General features: G+C 44.7%; 1 protein-coding gene across 2 annotated transcripts; it reads left to right on the forward strand.

Moving 5' to 3' along the window:
- Window positions 1–6,466: 6,466 nt before the first annotated feature.
- On the forward strand, window positions 6,467–17,374 carry KIR2DL4 (killer cell immunoglobulin like receptor, two Ig domains and long cytoplasmic tail 4). 2 transcript variants are annotated; one of them, NM_001080772.2, is made up of 8 exons: window positions 6,467–6,548; window positions 6,748–6,783; window positions 7,650–7,934; window positions 8,808–9,101; window positions 11,690–11,740; window positions 15,982–16,085; window positions 16,547–16,599; window positions 16,699–17,374. In NM_001080772.2, the coding sequence occupies exons 1-7, from the start codon at window positions 6,509–6,511 to the stop codon at window positions 16,556–16,558; spliced, it is 822 nt and encodes a 273-aa protein (NP_001074241.1). In that variant the 5' UTR covers window positions 6,467–6,508; the 3' UTR covers window positions 16,559–16,599; window positions 16,699–17,374. The 2 variants fall into 2 exon arrangements, with proteins under 2 accessions (NP_001074241.1, NP_001074239.1); NM_001080770.2 differs by lacking the exon at window positions 15,982–16,085.

Consider the following 17,713-nt stretch of genomic DNA (forward strand, 5'->3'; position numbering starts at 1 on the left):
ATTTTTCCGAAGAAAAGTGGTGATTGGCCATCTTTAGTCTCAATGTAAACGGTAATACTGATGAGTGTGGAAAAGGCAGGGAAGAGGATTGACAATAAGTGACACTCATTGTTTTCATCTGAGCTTTGAGACTGAAAGAGGAACACAGGAGTGAGATGTATGGGAACAAACCCCTTCTTTTTCCAGCTAAACAGAGTGGAAGTTGGACACTGAGTTTTGGCGTACAGCAAAATCCTAAGTCCATTGTTGGGTTGAACACGGCCATGTTGTACATCCTGGTTTCACAGCAGACACTGGAGGAAAACAGCCTGTATTCATAAGAGGCTGTCCCTCGGGTCACTGCCCAGAATATCCGGAGTTGGTGCTCACAGGGTTGGGAACTCTCCTGGACCAGACAGGCTCTGGATATGGGGGGGTACCAAGCTCCCCGGGGCCATGCCTCCACAGCTCTCTTCTCACCTCATTCTTGACCATTTCCCAAACCTCTGACCTCACCTTCATTCATCCATGGTGAACACGCTAAAACTGGCCTTCAAAGCTTGAGACAGAGGAAAATTGGGCTTCATCTCTGGGAACTAAATTGGGGAGTGGAGACTCAGTTCTGGCCTGACAGGAGGGAGAAGACCCTGGATCCCAGTGTGGATGGGAAGAAGTATGTGTTTCTCTTTTGTGCTTGGACCCTGTGTCCAAGCATGTCTGAGATGTGATGAAGATGAATCTTCCTTTCCTTGTCTATTTTCTCATGCCAGAGAATTGGAATCTTATATTCCATTAACTCTTTCTGTTCTGTTCATCCAGATTCTATGAAGGAGAAAGGAAAAGATGTGATACTGTAATTTTGCTCCATTTGTCTAAAATGAGTAGGCTGCAACTCCTCTTGAAGTGATACCTTTTCTAGCTCTTGTTGGAGGTGTCTCAGGACTCATTACTTCGGGGAACCTGCAACTGTGTCAGTCTGGGGAAACTGCAAATATTCTTGTCTTACATTTGTCTCCAGCCAATTGTGATGGACTCCAGTGACCTGCAATTGCTGTTATTGCAGGTAAAATGTACCTGAGTCAGGCCACAGTTCTCCTGGACTATGAGCCCCTGGCCATGTTCCTGAGGCAATTCTGTTCATCTAAATATAATAATAATAACACACTAAAAATGGCAAGCCATTGTTAATTCCTGAAGTCTCATTTGAAAATTACTAAATGTCTGTTATTTTTTGGTGTTTACATTATATGTAGACAGATAAACTACACACACACACACACACACACATGCACACAGAAGAATGGATTGTTTCATGTAGAAAAGTAAATAATTCAAGATGAAAGGATGAAATGTCATGGCACCTACTATTCTATTTTAGATAAAGGGTCTATGAAAAGATTGATTTCTTTTTATGTTTTATTTGTTGACATTTGAACACAAACTATGTAAGTGAGGGAGTCGATTTGAAAGGGAGAAGAGCAAGTTCAAACACATTCAGGTGAGGTCATGCTTTACATGTTTTAATTGAAATGATCCATCTTGGGAGTAGATCAATAACTGAGATGGTGCCAGGAATGTTAAAAAGCTTTTGTCAGTCCTAAATATTGACAAATAAAATTTAATTAAAGTCTTAGAAGAAAACACAAAGGAAAACTTCACAACATCGGATTTGGCAGTGATTCTTTAGATGTGACAACAACGGCACAGGCTACTACAGAAAAAATAAACAAGTTAGACTTTATGAAAATTTTGAAATATTGTGACTCAAAAGACAACATCAGTTACTTCACATGGCAAGGAAAAAGAACTTTTAAGACGATATTATCAAAGTAAAAAGACAACCCACAGAATGGGAGAAAATGTTTTCAAACCACACCACCTGTAAGGGATTAACATCCAGAATATACAGACAACTCCTAAAACTCAATCACAATAAACTCAATTCAAAAATGGGCAAAGTACTGAAACAGACATTTCTCCAAAGAACATACGCATGAAAAGATATTCAGCATCACGAATCATTAGGGAAATACTAACTAAAACTACACCAGATGCCATTTCATACCCCTTAGGATGGGTATCATCAAAACAACAACAACAACAACAACAAAGTTTCTATACATTAACAACAAACTATCCAAAAAAGTTTACAAGAAAATAAGCCCATTTGCAATAACTACAGAAAACAAAACATGCAGGAATAAATTCACCCAAGGAGTAGAAAGATCTGTATGCAAAAGCTATAAAACATTGATGAAAAAACTCAAGAAATAAACAAATAAATCGAAAGATATTCCATGTTCACGGATCAGAAGGATTAATGTTGTTAAAATGTCCATTCTATCCAAAGTGATTCAATGCAACCATTATCAAAAATCCAATGACATTTTTTTTACAGAAATAGAAAAAACAGTCCTAAAATTCATGTGGAACCACAAAAGATCTCAAATAACCAAAGCCATCTAGAGGGAAAGGAACAAAGTTGGAAGCATCACATTACCTAAACACAAACTACATTACAAAATTACAGTAATTAAAACAACACAGTACTTGCATAAAAACAGACACATAGACCAATGGAAGTGATTCATAGCCCAGGAAAAAAATGCATGCATTTAGGGTCAAACAATTTTTGGGATGTGTCAAGAACACACAATGGAGAAGGAACAGTCTCTTTAATAAATGGGATTGGGAGACTGCATGTCCACATGCAGAAGAATGGAAGTGGACATTTGCCTCACAAAACATACAAAGTCAACTCAAGATAGATTAATGACTTAAATGTAAGATGAAAGACTATAATCCCAGCAATTTGGGAGGCCAAGGTGGGCAGATCACCTAAGGTCAGGATTCCAAGACCAGCATGGCCAACATGGTGAAATCCCGCCTCTACTAAAAATACAAAAACAGCTGGGTGTGGTTGTGGGTGCCTGTAATCTCAGCTACTCGGGAGGTTGAGACAGGAGAATCACTTGAACCCAGGAGGTAGAGGTTGCAGTGAGCCGAGATCGCACCACTGCACTCCAGCCGGGGCAACACAGTGAGACTCCATCTTAAAAAAAAAAAAAAAACTACTAAAAGAAATCAAGGGAAAACTCCACTGGCTTGGGCAAAACCATTTTGGATATTAACCCAAAGGCCCAGGCAACAAAAGCAAAAGTAGACAAATAACATTATATCAAATTGAAAGTTTCTGCAAAGAAAAAAAAAACTCAACAAGTGGAAAGACAACCTATGGAATGGGAGAATATATTTGCACCCATACATCTAATAAGGAATTAATATCCAAAATATATAAGAAACTCAAACAACTCAATGGTAAGAAATCAAATAACCCAACTTAAAAAAATGGGCAAAGTATCTGAATAAACATTTCTAAGAATAAGACAAATCACCAAAAGGTATATGAAAAAATGATTAGCATTACTAAACATCAGCTAAATAAAAATTAAAACTAGAATGAGATATCACCTCACACCTCTTAGAATGACCATTAACAGTCTGGGCATGGTGGCTCATGCCTGTAATTCAGGCACTTTGGGAGGCCGAGGCAGGGAGATTACCTGAGGTCAGCAGTTCGAAACCAGCCTGGCCAATATGGTGAAACCCCATCCCTACTAAAAATACAAAAATTAGCAGAGTTTGGTGGCGCACACTTGTAGTCCCAGCTACTCTGGAGACTGAGGCAGGGGAATCGCTTGAACCCAGGAGGCAGAGGTTGCAGTACACCGAGATTGTGCCACTGCACTCCAGCCTGGGTGACAGAGCAAGACTGAGTCTCAAAAAAAAAAAAAAAAAAAAGACCATTATCAAAAACATAAAAAATAACAAGGGTTAACGAGGATGTGGAGAAAAGGGAACATTTGTATGCAGTTGATGGGAATGTAAATTAGCACAACCATTATGGAAAACAGTCTGGAAGTTCCTGAAAAAATTAAACATAGAATTCCCATATGTGTCTGCAATCCAACTACTGCGCATGTATCCAAAGGAAGTGGAATCAGTATGTTGAAGAGATATCTGCATTCCCATGTTTACAGCCGCATTATTCATAACAGCCAAGATGTGGAATCACCCTTACTGCCCATCTATGGGTGCATGGACAAAGAAAACGTGGTATACGATAGGAACGTAATGAAGTACTATACAACCTTTACAACAAAGAAGGAAGTCCTCTCATTTGTGACAATGTGAAAAAACTTAGAGGACATTATGTTAAGGGAAACAATCCAGGCACAGAAAGACAAATGCCACATGATCTCATGTGTGGAGTGTAAGAAGTGGAACCTAGAGGAACAGTAAAATGGTCGTCGAAAGAACCTGGGATGGAGAGAGATTGAAGAGATGTTGGTCAAAGGATGCAAAATTTCAGTTAGAAGAAATCGGTTCAAGAGATCTATTGTATGTCTTGGTGACTCCAGTTAATAGCAACATATGGTGTATTGAACATTACTAAGAGATTAGATTTTACATGTTCTCACCACACACACAAAACATACAAGTATGTGAAAAAATAAATATGATAAAGAGGTTGTTTCATCCATTCCACAATGTGTACCTATATGAAAACATCATGATGGACACCACAAATACCCTTTTCCTCATTAATTAAATTTGTTTTGGTTTTTTTTTTGAGATGCAGTTTCACTGTTGTTGCCCAAGCTGAGGTGCAATGGCGTGATCTCCGCTCACTGCAACCTCTGCCTCCCAGGTTCAAGCGGTTCTCCTGACTCAGCCTCCCAAGCAGCTGGGACTACAGTTGCGTACCACCCCGTCCGGCTATATTTGTGTTTCTAGTAGAGACAGGGTTTCGCCATGTTGGCCAGGCTGGTCTCGAACTCCAGACCTCAGGTGATCCACCCGCTTCGCCCTCCCAAAGTGCTAGATTTCAGGCTGAGACACCACACCCAGCCTGTACATTGACTTTCTGCCCTTAAACTGTGCTGAAGTTTGTTTCTCAGATGTAGGAGCCTTTGGGCAGAGACTATGGGGTTTCTAGGTATAGAAATTATCTCATCTTCAAACAGAGGTAATTTGACTACCTCTCTCTGCTACTCTCTTCTTACTTGGATGCCTTATAATTCTTTCTCTTTCCTGATGGCTCTGTCTAGGACTTCAAGTACTATGTTGAATAGGATGGTGAGAGTGGGCATTCTTGTCTTGTTTCACTTATGAAGGGAACTTCTTCCAGCTTTTACTCATTCAGTATGATGTTGGTTGTGGGTTTGTCACAGGCGGCTCTTATTATATTGAGTTATGTTTCTTCAATGCTTAGCTTGTTGAGGGCTTTTAACATGAAGAAATGCTTAGTAAAAAGTATGTTCTACATGTGTGTTGAGAAGATCATGTGGTTTTTGTTTTTAGTTTTGTTTAGGTGATGAATCACATGTATTGATTGTGTATGTTCAACCAACCTTGCACCCTAAGAATAAAGTTGACTTGATCATGGTGGATTCACTTTTTGATATGCTGCGGGATTCAGTTCTTAGTATTTTTTGTGGATTTTTGCCTCTATGTTCATCAGGAATATTGGCATGTAGTTTTCTTTTGTTTAATGTTCTTTTCTGTCTTTAGTATCAGGGTGATGCCAGCCTTATAGAATGAGTAAAGGCCACCCTGGGCAAACAGTGAGACCCATCCCTTTTTAAAAATTATGAGTTTTACAAATTTAAAATGCATAGTGAAAAAGTTCTTACAAACTCCAGAAAGATAGGTGTAAATAAGAGACATTTGTAAGAATGACAGCACATTAAATGTGTAGATTTCAACCTTCAGTTATTGCAATATTCCAGTATCAAGTTGGAGGATGTTATCAGTCTGATATTTTTTCCTCAAATGAGAGAGAGAAAGAAAGACACACAAACAACACAGGGAGAAAAAAAGCACACGTTACAGAGAGACAAAAAGGGAGACAGGGAACTGTGAATTTGGACTCTTGTGTCATAAGACAAATTCTAGATAACACGACCAGACCTTCAATTGACATATTGTGTTTTTGCTAATAAGGTGGAATTCTATGATGCGAAATAACTATATAGTCTTTTCTACTGGGATTTAAATCATTTTATCTGTTTCTGGCTTAACAGGAAAAATACAACCATGGAAAATTATGATGATTTATTTAATACGATTGCTCTATAGTGTTAATAAAACCTATTAGGTATTTTGCATATTACATATCAAGGAGAGTTTGAATCTCAGGTAGAAACAAAAAAAAATACATCAAATTTCCTCATGTGAGTGCAGAATTCAATCGTCCCGTGCAGGGGTAAGTGAGTCTGAGATGTGTTTTGAGCCTGGCCGTTGCGCATGATGTGAAGTGACAAGTCTAGTCTGCAGTTTTCAGAAACCCTCATTCCTCCCTTGACTGATTCACCACTTGAACCTCATATGACGTAGAAGAAGCCTACCTATGTCCCCTTCACATGTTGTGGTCAATGTGTCAACTGCACGATCCGGGCCCCTCACCACATCCTCTGCACCGGTCAGTCGAGCCGAGTCACTGCGTCCTGGCAGCAGAAGCTGCACCATGTCCATGTCACCCACGGTCATCATCCTGGCATGTCTTGGTGAGTCCTGGAAGGGAAGGAGCACCAGGGTTACACTATGGGCCTGCAGATTGGGTGTCTCCCCAGCAGAGAGCCATGTTCTGAAGCAAGTGAGTGGTGAGGATGAGTTAATTTTCAGTCCAGCGTGGCGCCCAGTGGCTCAGGAGGAAAGGGTAGGTTGCTGCCGAGATGAATAGTTCATCATGATCTTTCTTTGCAGGGTTCTTCTTGGACCAGAGTGTGTGGGCACACGTGGGTGAGTCCTTCCCCAAATGATGGGTTGCCATCTTCACCCCAATACAAGTGAATTTTCCAGAAATGGGAGGGAGGCAGCACAGAGGGTGGGCTGATGGGCTGACCATGGGAAGGCCTGGGGGGAGTCTCTCATGAACTAGTAAGAGGAGATCCTGGGAGTCTCTCATGAACTAGTAAGAGGAGATCCTGGGAGTCTCTCATGAACTAGTAAGAGGAGATCCTGGTATGCTCAGCCCTCTGTTTTGTCTTAGCCCTCCCCAGCCTTTCTTCCCCATGGCTGAGTTGAGCTCTGTGTGGCCCAGGCGGGATACTGAGGTGCTCAAAGCTGGGGTGTGTGGGGGGATGTGGTGTCACCGACAGAGGAGGGAAGGGTAGCAGTGTTAGGAACAGCAGGTCCTCTGAGGACAAGAGGGTAACTCACACCCTCCAGCGTTTCCATGACGGTAGGGGCTGCAGTGTGGCTGCTGTCATTCTGCCAGAAGAGGTGGGGGAACCACAGCCACGACCCTGCCATTCCAAATCCTCTGATGGAGCTCAGTTGTTTATTGTGGTTCAGGCATTAGCTAATATTCCATTCACAAAGGTCATACCCTCCACCCCATGTCTACTTTGTGTTCTTTGGTGTAACTAATCTTGCAGTATTAAAATCTAGTAAGAGTCCCTTACTCAGCACCTGCTCAGTTCTCAACTGACACTTTTGTTGTAGGGAGACGCCACGTCTATGCGGGATGGGTCCTTCCTGTAGCCCCAGGCACCCAGGTGTGGTAGGAGCCTTAGAAAGAAGAAATGGGGAGAATCTTCTGAGCACAGGGAGGGAGGGGCAGCTCAACATACTCCTCTCTGAGGCGGCATCTCCTTCTCCCCAAGGTGGTCAGGACAAGCCCTTCTGCTCTGCCTGGCCCAGCGCTGTGGTGCCTCAAGGAGGACACGTGACTCTTCGGTGTCACTATCGTCGTGGGTTTAACATCTTCACGCTGTACAAGAAAGATGGGGTCCCTGTCCCTGAGCTCTACAACAGAATATTCTGGAACAGTTTCCTCATTAGCCCTGTGACCCCAGCACACGCAGGGACCTACAGATGTCGAGGTTTTCACCCGCACTCCCCCACTGAGTGGTCGGCACCCAGCAACCCCCTGGTGATCATGGTCACAGGTCAGAGGGCTCCTGTCTGGGCTTCTCCTTGTCCCACCTCCTGAGTCCCAGAGCTTCTGGTGGGGGTGTCCACCAGAGTCCGATCATCCAGGCCCCAACTATATTTGGGGTAAAGGGGGATTGAATACAGGGGAATGGGTGCTGTGTTGGAAAGAATAACTGTCCCCATCGATGGCCACATTGTAATCCTTGGAGCCTGTGACTATGTTATAGGGCAGGGGACTGAAGGGGAAGATGGAGCTCAGGTTGTTGATGAGTTGACCTTGAGATGGGGAGATGGCCTGGACTCTCCCACTGGGCTCAGTGTAATCACAAGGGTCCATATGAGTGGAGAAGGAAGAGGAGAATGGGGATTAGAGCAGCATCGTGGGATACTCCACCAGCCACTGTGGGCTTTGAAGGTGGAGGAAGACCACGAGCCACGAAGGGGCTGGAGAAATCAATGGAACTGATTCTCCCGAGTCTCCAGAGGGAATGCAGCCCTGCAGATGCCTTGATTGTAGCCCAGGAAGAACAGGGTCTGATTTCTGTCTCCAGAAGTGGAAGGGGTCAGTGTGTTCTCTCCTGCCGCCATGTTTGTGATAATTTTCTCCAGCAACAACAGGAAACCAACACAGGAACCCAGGTGAAGGACAAGTTAAAAAACCAAACAAGAAGGTTGGCTACCCTGAGATCAGCAAGGGTGCACTGCTGATGCCACCACCAGGCTGGAACCACATAGGGAGGGATCGACAGGAAGAGTTGGGGGTGGAGGGTGAGAGAGAGAGAGAGAGCACTAGGCCATAGAGCAGGGCAGTGAGTTCTCAGCTCAGGTGGGAGGGGAGCTGTGACAAGGAAGAACCTCCCTGAGGAAACTGCCTCTTCTCCTTCCAGGTCTATATGAGAAACCTTCGCTTACAGCCCGGCCGGGCCCCACGGTTCGCGCAGGAGAGAACGTGACCTTGTCCTGCAGCTCCCAGAGCTCCTTTGACATCTACCATCTATCCAGGGAGGGGGAAGCCCATGAACTTAGGCTCCCTGCAGTGCCCAGCATCAATGGAACATTCCAGGCCGACTTCCCTCTGGGTCCTGCCACCCACGGAGAGACCTACAGATGCTTCGGCTCTTTCCATGGATCTCCCTACGAGTGGTCAGACCCGAGTGACCCACTGCCTGTTTCTGTCACAGGTGAGGAAAGCCAATGTCTGTCCCATGTCCTATGGTCCTAGAGCCTTAGCTGAGGAGCTTCCTGCTGATGATGGAGAGAAGCATGGACAGATGTGGAGAGAAGATGCAGCATGGTGTGAGGGTGGGATCAGGGCACAGGATGGCAGACAGGGCACCTCCAAACCCTCCTGCATGGCCTGCATGGAAGCTTGCAGTAAGGGCTCCGGGTACCCAGGCAGATGGAGAAAGTGGTCAGGACAGACCCAGAGGAGGGAGACTGGGCTCAGTTTGGGGAGATCAGAGGTTCCCTCAGCCCCTCAACCTTACCCATTTCCCAGAAGCCCACCCTGGCCTCTCACCTACACAGAGATGTCATCACCAGCAACCCCTACACTTTTTCTTTTCCTTTGAAAAAATGCTGATTGAGGTTAAATATACCTATATAATTTATCAACTTTACCATTTTTAAGTGTAAAATCTAGGGATCATAAATACCTTTATATGCTGTGTGCGGTGGCTCATGCCTGTAATCTCAGCATTTTGAGACGCCAAGGCAGGTGGATCATTTAAAATCAGGGGCTGGAGACCAGCCTGGCCAACATGGGGGAACCAATCTTTACTAAAAAGACAAAAAAAATAAAATTAGCCAGGCATGGTGCCAGGCGCCTATAATCCCAGCAACTTGGGAGGCTGAGGCGGGAGAGTGGCTTAAACCCAGGAGGAGGAGGTTGCAGTGAGCTGAGATCATGCCACTGCACTGCAGCCTGGTGACACAGAGAGACTCTGTCTCTAAATAAATAAATAAATACTTTTATATTCTTCTTTTGTTACCCTCCACCCCTTCCTTCCTAACCTCTGGTATCCACCATTCTACTCTCTACCTTCATGAGGTCCACCTTTTACATCCTGCATGTGAGTAAGAAATGGCAATCCTTGTAATGACCTCCAGTCCATCCATGTGGCTGCAAATGACAGGACGTTACTCTTTGTATGGATGAGTTGTCTCCATTGTGTGTATGTACTACTTTCTCTCTATCCATTCATCCACTGATGGGCAGGTAGGTTGACTCCACATCTTGGCTACTGTGAACAGTGCTGGAACAGTCATGGGAGTGCAGATGTCACTTCAATACACTGAAGTCCTTTTCTTTGCATTTACACCCACTAGTGGAATTGCTAGATCCTCTGGATGTTCTCTTTTTAGGTTTTGTTTTATGCTTTTTGTTTTTTTGACATAGCGTTTCACTCTTGTTGCCCAAGCTGGAGTGCAATGGCACCACCTGGGCTCACTGCAACCTCTACCTCCAGGATTCAAGTGATTCTCCAGCCTCAGCCTCCCGAGTAGTTGGGATTACTGGTGCCCGCCACCACGCCTGGCTGATTTTTGTATTTTTAGTAGAGACGGGGTTTCACCATGTTAGCCAGGCTGGTCTCGAACTCTTGACCTCCAGTGATCTGCCCACTTCAGCCTCCCAAGGTGCTGGGATTACAAGCGTGAGACACAGTGCCTAATCTCTTTTTAGTTTTTAAGGAACTTCCATATTCTTCTCCTCTGTAATGGCTGTATTAATTTACATTCCTATCAACAGTGTATTAGGGTTCTCCTTTCTCCACCACCTTGCCAACATTTGTTTTGTCTGTCTCTGAGATAAAACCCATTGTAATGGGGTGAGATGATAGCTCATTGTGACTTCATTTGCATTTCTCTGATGATTAGTGATACTGAGCACTTTTTCATATATGCAATGTATATATGTTCATTTGTATGTTTTGTTCATTGAGAAATGTCTGTTCAGGTCTTTTACTAATTTTATAATTAAATTATTAGTTTTATTGAGGTGTTTGAGCTTCTTTTATATTCTAGTTATTAATCCCATCTCAGATGCATAGTTTGCAAATATTTGCTCCCATTCTGTGGGTTGTCTCTTCTTCACTTCATTGGTTGCTTCCTTTGCGGTGCAGAAGCTGCTTGATTTGATATAATCCCAATGGTCTATTTTTTTGTTGTTGTTGTGATTACTTGTGTTTTTGAGGTTTTAAACAAAATGTCTTCCCTCAGACAAATGTCCTGGAGCATTTCTCCAGTGTTTCCTTTTAGACATTTAATGGATTCAGGTCTTAAGTCATTAATCCATTTTCATCTGATTTTTGTGTATGGTGAGAGGTAGAGGTGCAGTTTCATCCCTCTGCATGTAGATATCCAGTTTTCCCTGCACCATTTATTGAAATGACTGTCCTTTCCAGATTGTAGATTCTTCGAACCTTTGTCAAAGTCCATTGGATGTAAATGGGTGGATTACATCCGTGTTCTTCATTCTGCTCCATTGTTTTATGTGCTTTTCTTTATGCCAATGTCATGTTGTTTTGCTTACTACAGCTCTGTAACATATTTTTAAGTCAGGTAGTGTGATGCTCCTGTTTTCTCCTTATACCTTGAAGTCTCAAGATAGTTGGTGTCACCTACAATGATTATGGAGAATGGGATGCCAGGACTCCCAGGGCCCAACATTAGATAATAGAATGTTGGCCATGAACCAACCTCAAAGATTTCCATTGAGTAGAAGACAGGCATCCTCATTGCCACACCTCTCTCCTGTCCCGTGTTCTAGGAAACCCTTCTAGTAGTTGGCCTTCACCCACTGAACCAAGCTTCAAAACTGGTAAGTGAAGGACCCCTCTTATCTCTGCTTTTGGAAACCTGGGGAGGTAGAAGCCTTGGATTCAAGCGTTGGCTCAGCACCTGCCAGCTCTGTGATTGTGGGCCTGTCTTCCATTGTCTCTGAACCCCAGACACTCCAACAGCGAAAGGGATCTGGGCCCAGCACAGGGCTCAGTGAAATCTCTTAATCTCTAATTTTCTGCTGCTGAGACCTCAGGGTAGAAGGATGAGTGCAAATCAGACATTCTTCTCAGGAAAAATGCTGTGTTTGTTCTGCCTGCATTCCTAACTGGGAGGACAAATGCCTGGGGGCTTGAGAAGGGGAAGGAAGGGGAACATTTTTGAGGGTGGTGTATTTGTAGAGAAGTTCTACTTGCCAAGGAATGAGCTCCTGTCTGTCATGATCCAACCCTGGTTGACTTAGTGGAACAAGAGCTTTGCGGTAAGAGAGAACGTAGTTCATCCGTGCACATGACACTTCCACTTACTCGTTCAGCCACTGCCCCATGCTCAGACTGTGCAGTGTGGAACCTTTTCCTATGTTGCCATAACAAATTTCCACAAGCTTCGTGGATGGAAACCACATTTTTAAAAAATATCTCATGGTGCTGTAGCTCAGAAGTATGAAATGCATCATCTCACTGGGCTAAAATCAAGGTGACAGCAAGGCTGCCTTCCCTCTGAATGTTCCAGGCAAGAATCTGCTTCCTCACTTTTCCCAGCTCCTAGAGGCTCCCACATTCCTTGGCTCCTGGTCCCCGTCTTCCTCCCTCAAAGTCCACAAAGGCTGGTCACGCCTCTCACACGGCATCACTCAGACCCTTCTTCCTTGTCCACACCTCTTTCTCTGAATGCTGCTCTGCCTTCTTCCTCATCTTTTAAGGACTTTGGCATTCTATTGGAAACACCAAGATAATCCATCATAATTTCCCTAAAATCATCTAGGATACCCTCCTTTTAAGGTTAGCTGATTAGCAACCGTAATTCCATCTGCAATCTGCATTCCTTTTTTCCATGTAAAATAACATATTCACAAGATATGGCGACTAGGACAGGAATATTTTGGGGTGGGGCGGCATTCTTATCCTTTCCACAAATGGTAAACAAGGTGCATTTGGCCTCTGCTCTTGGACACTGATATTGCAAAGGATTAAATGGGAGGGCAGAAAATGAATGCACCAGTGGACCAATAAATGAATGATCCATTGGGAAGCATCTGTGCATGAGAATGATTGATTGATTGGTTGTTTTTATGAGACAGTGTCTCCCTCTGTGCCCCAGGCTGGAGTGCAGTGGCGGGATCTCGGCTCACCGCAACCTCCACCTCCCAGGTTAAAGCGATTCTCTACACTCAGCTTCCCGAGAGGCTGGGATTACACCCATGTCCCACCACGCCTGGCTAATTTTTTTTTGGTATTTTTTTTTAGTACAGACAAGGTTTTACCATGTTGCCCAGGCTATCTCAAACTCCCAACCTTAAGGGATCCGCCCGTCTCAGCCTCCCAAAGTGCTGAGATTAGAGGCGTGAGCCAAGGCGCCGAGCCGTATTTTAAAAGAAATAATAGATAATGCTGAGTGTATAATTTCGGGTGACAGAGAAGTTCTCACTGATCAAATAATACTTGTGACCTTAATGAAAAAAATAGATCAACCCCTGGAAGATTGGCGGAAGGATTTTCCACACAGCTGTCAGCCGTGAAGGCACAAAGGTGAAAACAATGTTATGTGGAAGGAAGAGGCTCTGCCTGAAATGCTGGGAATGACATGGGGAGAATGACAAGACGACTGTGGAGAGACAGAGAGCACACTGGGTACACAGGAAACTAAGGAGCAACAAGGAGCGTGTGTTTGATACTCACAGCCATTGGACTTACCTCGGGGCTAACTGGGAATCCCTACATGATGAATAGTGACTGACATGAAAATAAGGGAGGCCCAGGTGCATAACTGGAATCTAGGAGACTGTGGAAAAGGCAATTCCCGCCCCCCTGGTGAAATGTGGTGCTGATTTAGACACTAAATGAATGAAAGATGGACACAAGATGTGTTTGTGAGGTAGAGTAATTTGCAGGGAGGGCTTGCCTGGTTTGATTTTTCCTAATTGTTTAATCTTCACTTCATTGATTTCTTTCTGAGATTTATTTTTCCTACATGTAAATCAATACTTGGCAGAGGAGTGAGAGATACATGAGGGGTGGTGCAAAGGAAGAGACCTATTATAATATAACACACAAGGTTCTGAACGGTGGCTCACACCTGTAACCCAACATTTTGGGAGGCTGAGGAGGCTGGATCAAGTGAGATCAGGAGTTCGAGATCAGCCTGGACAACATGGTGAAACCCCATCTCTACTAAATATACAAAAACTAGCTGGGGGTGGTGGCGCGTGCCTGTAATACCAGCTATTCGGGAAGTTGAAGAAGGAGAATGGCTTCAACCAGGGAGGGAGAGGTTACAGTGAGCCAAGATCGCGTCATTGCACTGCACCCTAGGTGACAGAGTGAGACTCCATGGCAAAAAATAAAAATAAAGAATACATAAATATAATATAACATACACGAATGACAAAGGCACACCAATTCCAATCATCATTTTTCTATTTCTCTATAATGACTTCTTTGATCCTTTATCCTATCCGTAAGAAAATCAGGCGAAAACATCTTCCTTATTTGGCTTTCTGTGAGCATGAGATCATATGGAAAATGTGAAACCCACCAGCACAGGTCCTGGAATAGAGAACGTGATCTGTTCATGGCACAAAACTTGCCCCTTCACCCAAATCCCCCACCTCACCCCTACTTCCAATCACATTAATGATACAGATAGATCATGGGGAGGTAAAAACTAATATTCTTTGGAGTTCAGATCGTAGACTCAGAGACCAGTGCCAGCACTATCTCCTGGTCACCTTTTGGAGTAATTCACAGAAAGACAGGCTGTATTGAAGCAACAGATGATGGAGGGGGTGGTCTTTCCCCCAGACTCTCGGGTGGAACAGCAGCCTAATATCTGACTCCCAAGATGACAAAAGTAGCATGTTGCCCACGAGCTTCATCATTATTTCCTGGCTGTTTGATATAAGACAGCTCAACCTCACTTATGTTGATTTCAATGTCACTGTTTTTTCCTTTTCTTGGAGAATGTAATTTGTTTGAGTCAAGAGGGTTGTGGATGTAGAAACTGTAAAGCACATTCACTGTGTATCAATCCCAGTCCAGTCTTCCCAGAGAAGACTCTAAACACCTCCCATACTGCACCTGGGGCTGTGCCAATTTCTATCACTCACCATCACTCCAGGGAGACAGAACACACAGGGAATACATTACATAGGCAGGTTCATTACTTATAGATAAGCAGCGAGTGACAACAGAAACCTTCCTTTCAGGGTGAGCCAGTCCCTCAAGGCTCAGAAAAACTGCTCAGGACACATGGAGTCACTTCATGTGCACTGTAGCTGGGGGAAGCCAGAAAGCAGCCCAGCCTGGGTTTTGTACCCTGGAGCCACAGGGAACACTCAGCTAAAGCACTGCATGATGTTCTCCTCCAGGAAGAACAGGAAGACAGCCCAGGCTGTTCTGAGACGTTCCTCCTGATCTCAGGATGTTGCTGTCTTAGCCTATTTTTGTTGCTATAAAAGAACACTTGAGCCTGGGTATCTTCTAAAGAAAAGAGATGTGTTTGGCTCACTGATCTGCACGCTGTACTAGAAGCAGGACACTACCATCTATTTCTGGCTGCGGCCTCAGGCTGCTCCCACACTGACAGAAGAGAAGGGGGTCCTGCGTGTGCAGAGACCACAGAGATCACATGGCAAGAGAGGGAGAAAGGGGGTGTGATGGAGCTTCCAAGCTCTTTTTAAGAATCAACTCTCCAGGGTACTAATAGAGGGAGAACTTGCTAACCCCGTCCTCTGGGGACAGCATTAATCTATTCATGATGGATCCACCCCCATGACCAAAACACCCCTCCCAATAGGCACAACTCCCACACTGGGGATTAAATTTCAAAGTGGGGTTTGGAGGGGTCAAACATTGAAACAATAGCAGTTGTATCATCAGCACATTCTATTGTTATTATGAAAACTATAACGGAGAAAGCAGGAGAAAGCTGGGTCTCCCGCCTCGTGGGTGCTTGTCTTAAAGAGGTGTTTTATGTGGTTGCCTGGCAACCAAGAAATGAGAGACAATCCACAAAGAGGAACTGCTATGGTTAGCTTCTTATTGGATTCCCATCTTCCTCCAGGTATCGCCAGACACCTGCATGCTGTGATTAGGTACTCAGTGGCCATCATCCTCTTTACCATCCTTCCCTTCTTTCTCCTTCATCGCTGGTGCTCCAAAAAAAAAGTAAGCCTCACGAAGCAGAGGCCAGAGAACTCAGGGCCCTGTGCGGAAGCAGGATGGGAGCACGCAGGTGTGTGTTCCTCACTGGCAGGAAAGTCTCTGGCCCAAGGCAGGAGCCAGAGGCAGAGCTTTCTAGAGAGAGCACCAGACACCCTGCCCCTGCCTTCAGCTCACAGACCGTTGCCTGATTGTGAACTGTATCCTCACGTCCCCTGCAGCCACTCACATCCAGGAGAAGATTCCATGACAGGCAGAAAGTGGGAGATAGAATCAATGGGATGGGAACTGACAGCTATTCATGGAATGGGGTCTTGCACTCAGAGAGATGGAATGTCTGAGTCTGGCTGTTGGCAGCTGAGGGACCTCAGGCACCTATGGCCTCCCCCTGTGTGTTGGTATCTGTTCATGAAATGAGGACCCAGAAGTGCCCTCCCAGCTGTTTTGATTGCTTCCGTCTCCTACAGATGCTGCTGTAATGAACCAAGAGCCTGCGGGACACAGAACAGTGAACAGGGAGGTAGGTCCTCCTAGCCCAGCCTCATGGATACAGTCTTATTCCGAAATAGTCCTGAAAAATGTGAACACCCTCCCTCACTCAGGATTTCCCTCTCTCCAGGACTCTGATGAACAAGACCCTCAGGAGGTGACATACGCACAGTTGGATCACTGCATTTTCACACAGAGAAAAATCACTGGCCCTTCTCAGAGGAGCAAGAGACCCTCAACAGATACCAGCGTGTGTATAGAACTTCCAAATGCTGAGCCCAGAGCGTTGTCTCCTGCCCATGAGCACCACAGTCAGGCCTTGATGGGATCTTCTAGGGAGACAACAGCCCTGTCTCAAACCCAGCTTGCCAGCTCTAATGTACCAGCAGCTGGAATCTGAAGGCGTGAGTCTCCATCTTAGAGCATCACTCTTCCTCACACCACAAATCTGGTGCCTGTCTCTTGCTTACCAATGTCTAAGGTCCCCACTGCCTGCTGCAGAGAAAACACACTCCTTTGCTTAGCCCACAATTCTCTATTTCACTTGACCCCTGCCCACCTCTCCAACCTAACTGGCTTACTTCCTAGTCTACTTGAGGCTGCAATCACACTGAGGAACTCACAATTCCAAACATACAAGAGGCTCTCTCTTAACACGGCACTTAGACACGTGCTGTTCCACCTTCCCTCGTGCTGTTCCACCTTTCCTCAGACTATTTTTCAGCCTTCTGGCATCAGCAAACCTTATAAAATTTTTTTGATTTCAGTGTAGTTCTCTCCTCTTCAAATAAACATGTCTGCCTTCATTCTTTAGGTGACTCTTTTTTTGGCTGAAAGTTTCCAGTGTTATCATTACCATGTCCAAATAACTCCAACTGTTCTCCACTGGGTTCTCACCCCTGGACTTGGAGCTTCTGGAAGCAGGGTGGAGCCTGATTTGTCTCTGAGACTCCAATTTCCATCCAAAGATGCAGCACATAAGAGGTTCCAAGGATCGTGAATCACATGAACAAGTGATATTCTTACTCTCTGCAGACCTGGAAAGCTGGCAGAGTCATTCCATGATGAAACATTTGTAGAGTCATAGGCCTTGTTAGTCTCATCTCCACGGGGACACATATCAACACATCATCTTTCATACTATA

The sequence above is a fragment of the Homo sapiens genome, chromosome 19 (genome assembly GCF_000001405.40).
Source record: "Homo sapiens chromosome 19, GRCh38.p14 Primary Assembly".
Taxonomy (NCBI): domain Eukaryota; kingdom Metazoa; phylum Chordata; class Mammalia; order Primates; family Hominidae; genus Homo; species Homo sapiens.

Coding starts and splice junctions, on each gene's coding strand:
- KIR2DL4 (NM_001080770.2), top strand. CDS start 6,509: ATGTCCATGTCACCCACGGTCATCATCCTGGCATGTCTTG. Junction 6,784..7,649: donor GAGTGTGTGGGCACACGTGG/GTGAGTCCTTCC, acceptor CTTCTCCCCAAG/GTGGTCAGGACAAGCCCTTC. Junction 11,741..16,546: donor TGAACCAAGCTTCAAAACTG/GTAAGTGAAGGA, acceptor CGTCTCCTACAG/ATGCTGCTGTAATGAACCAA.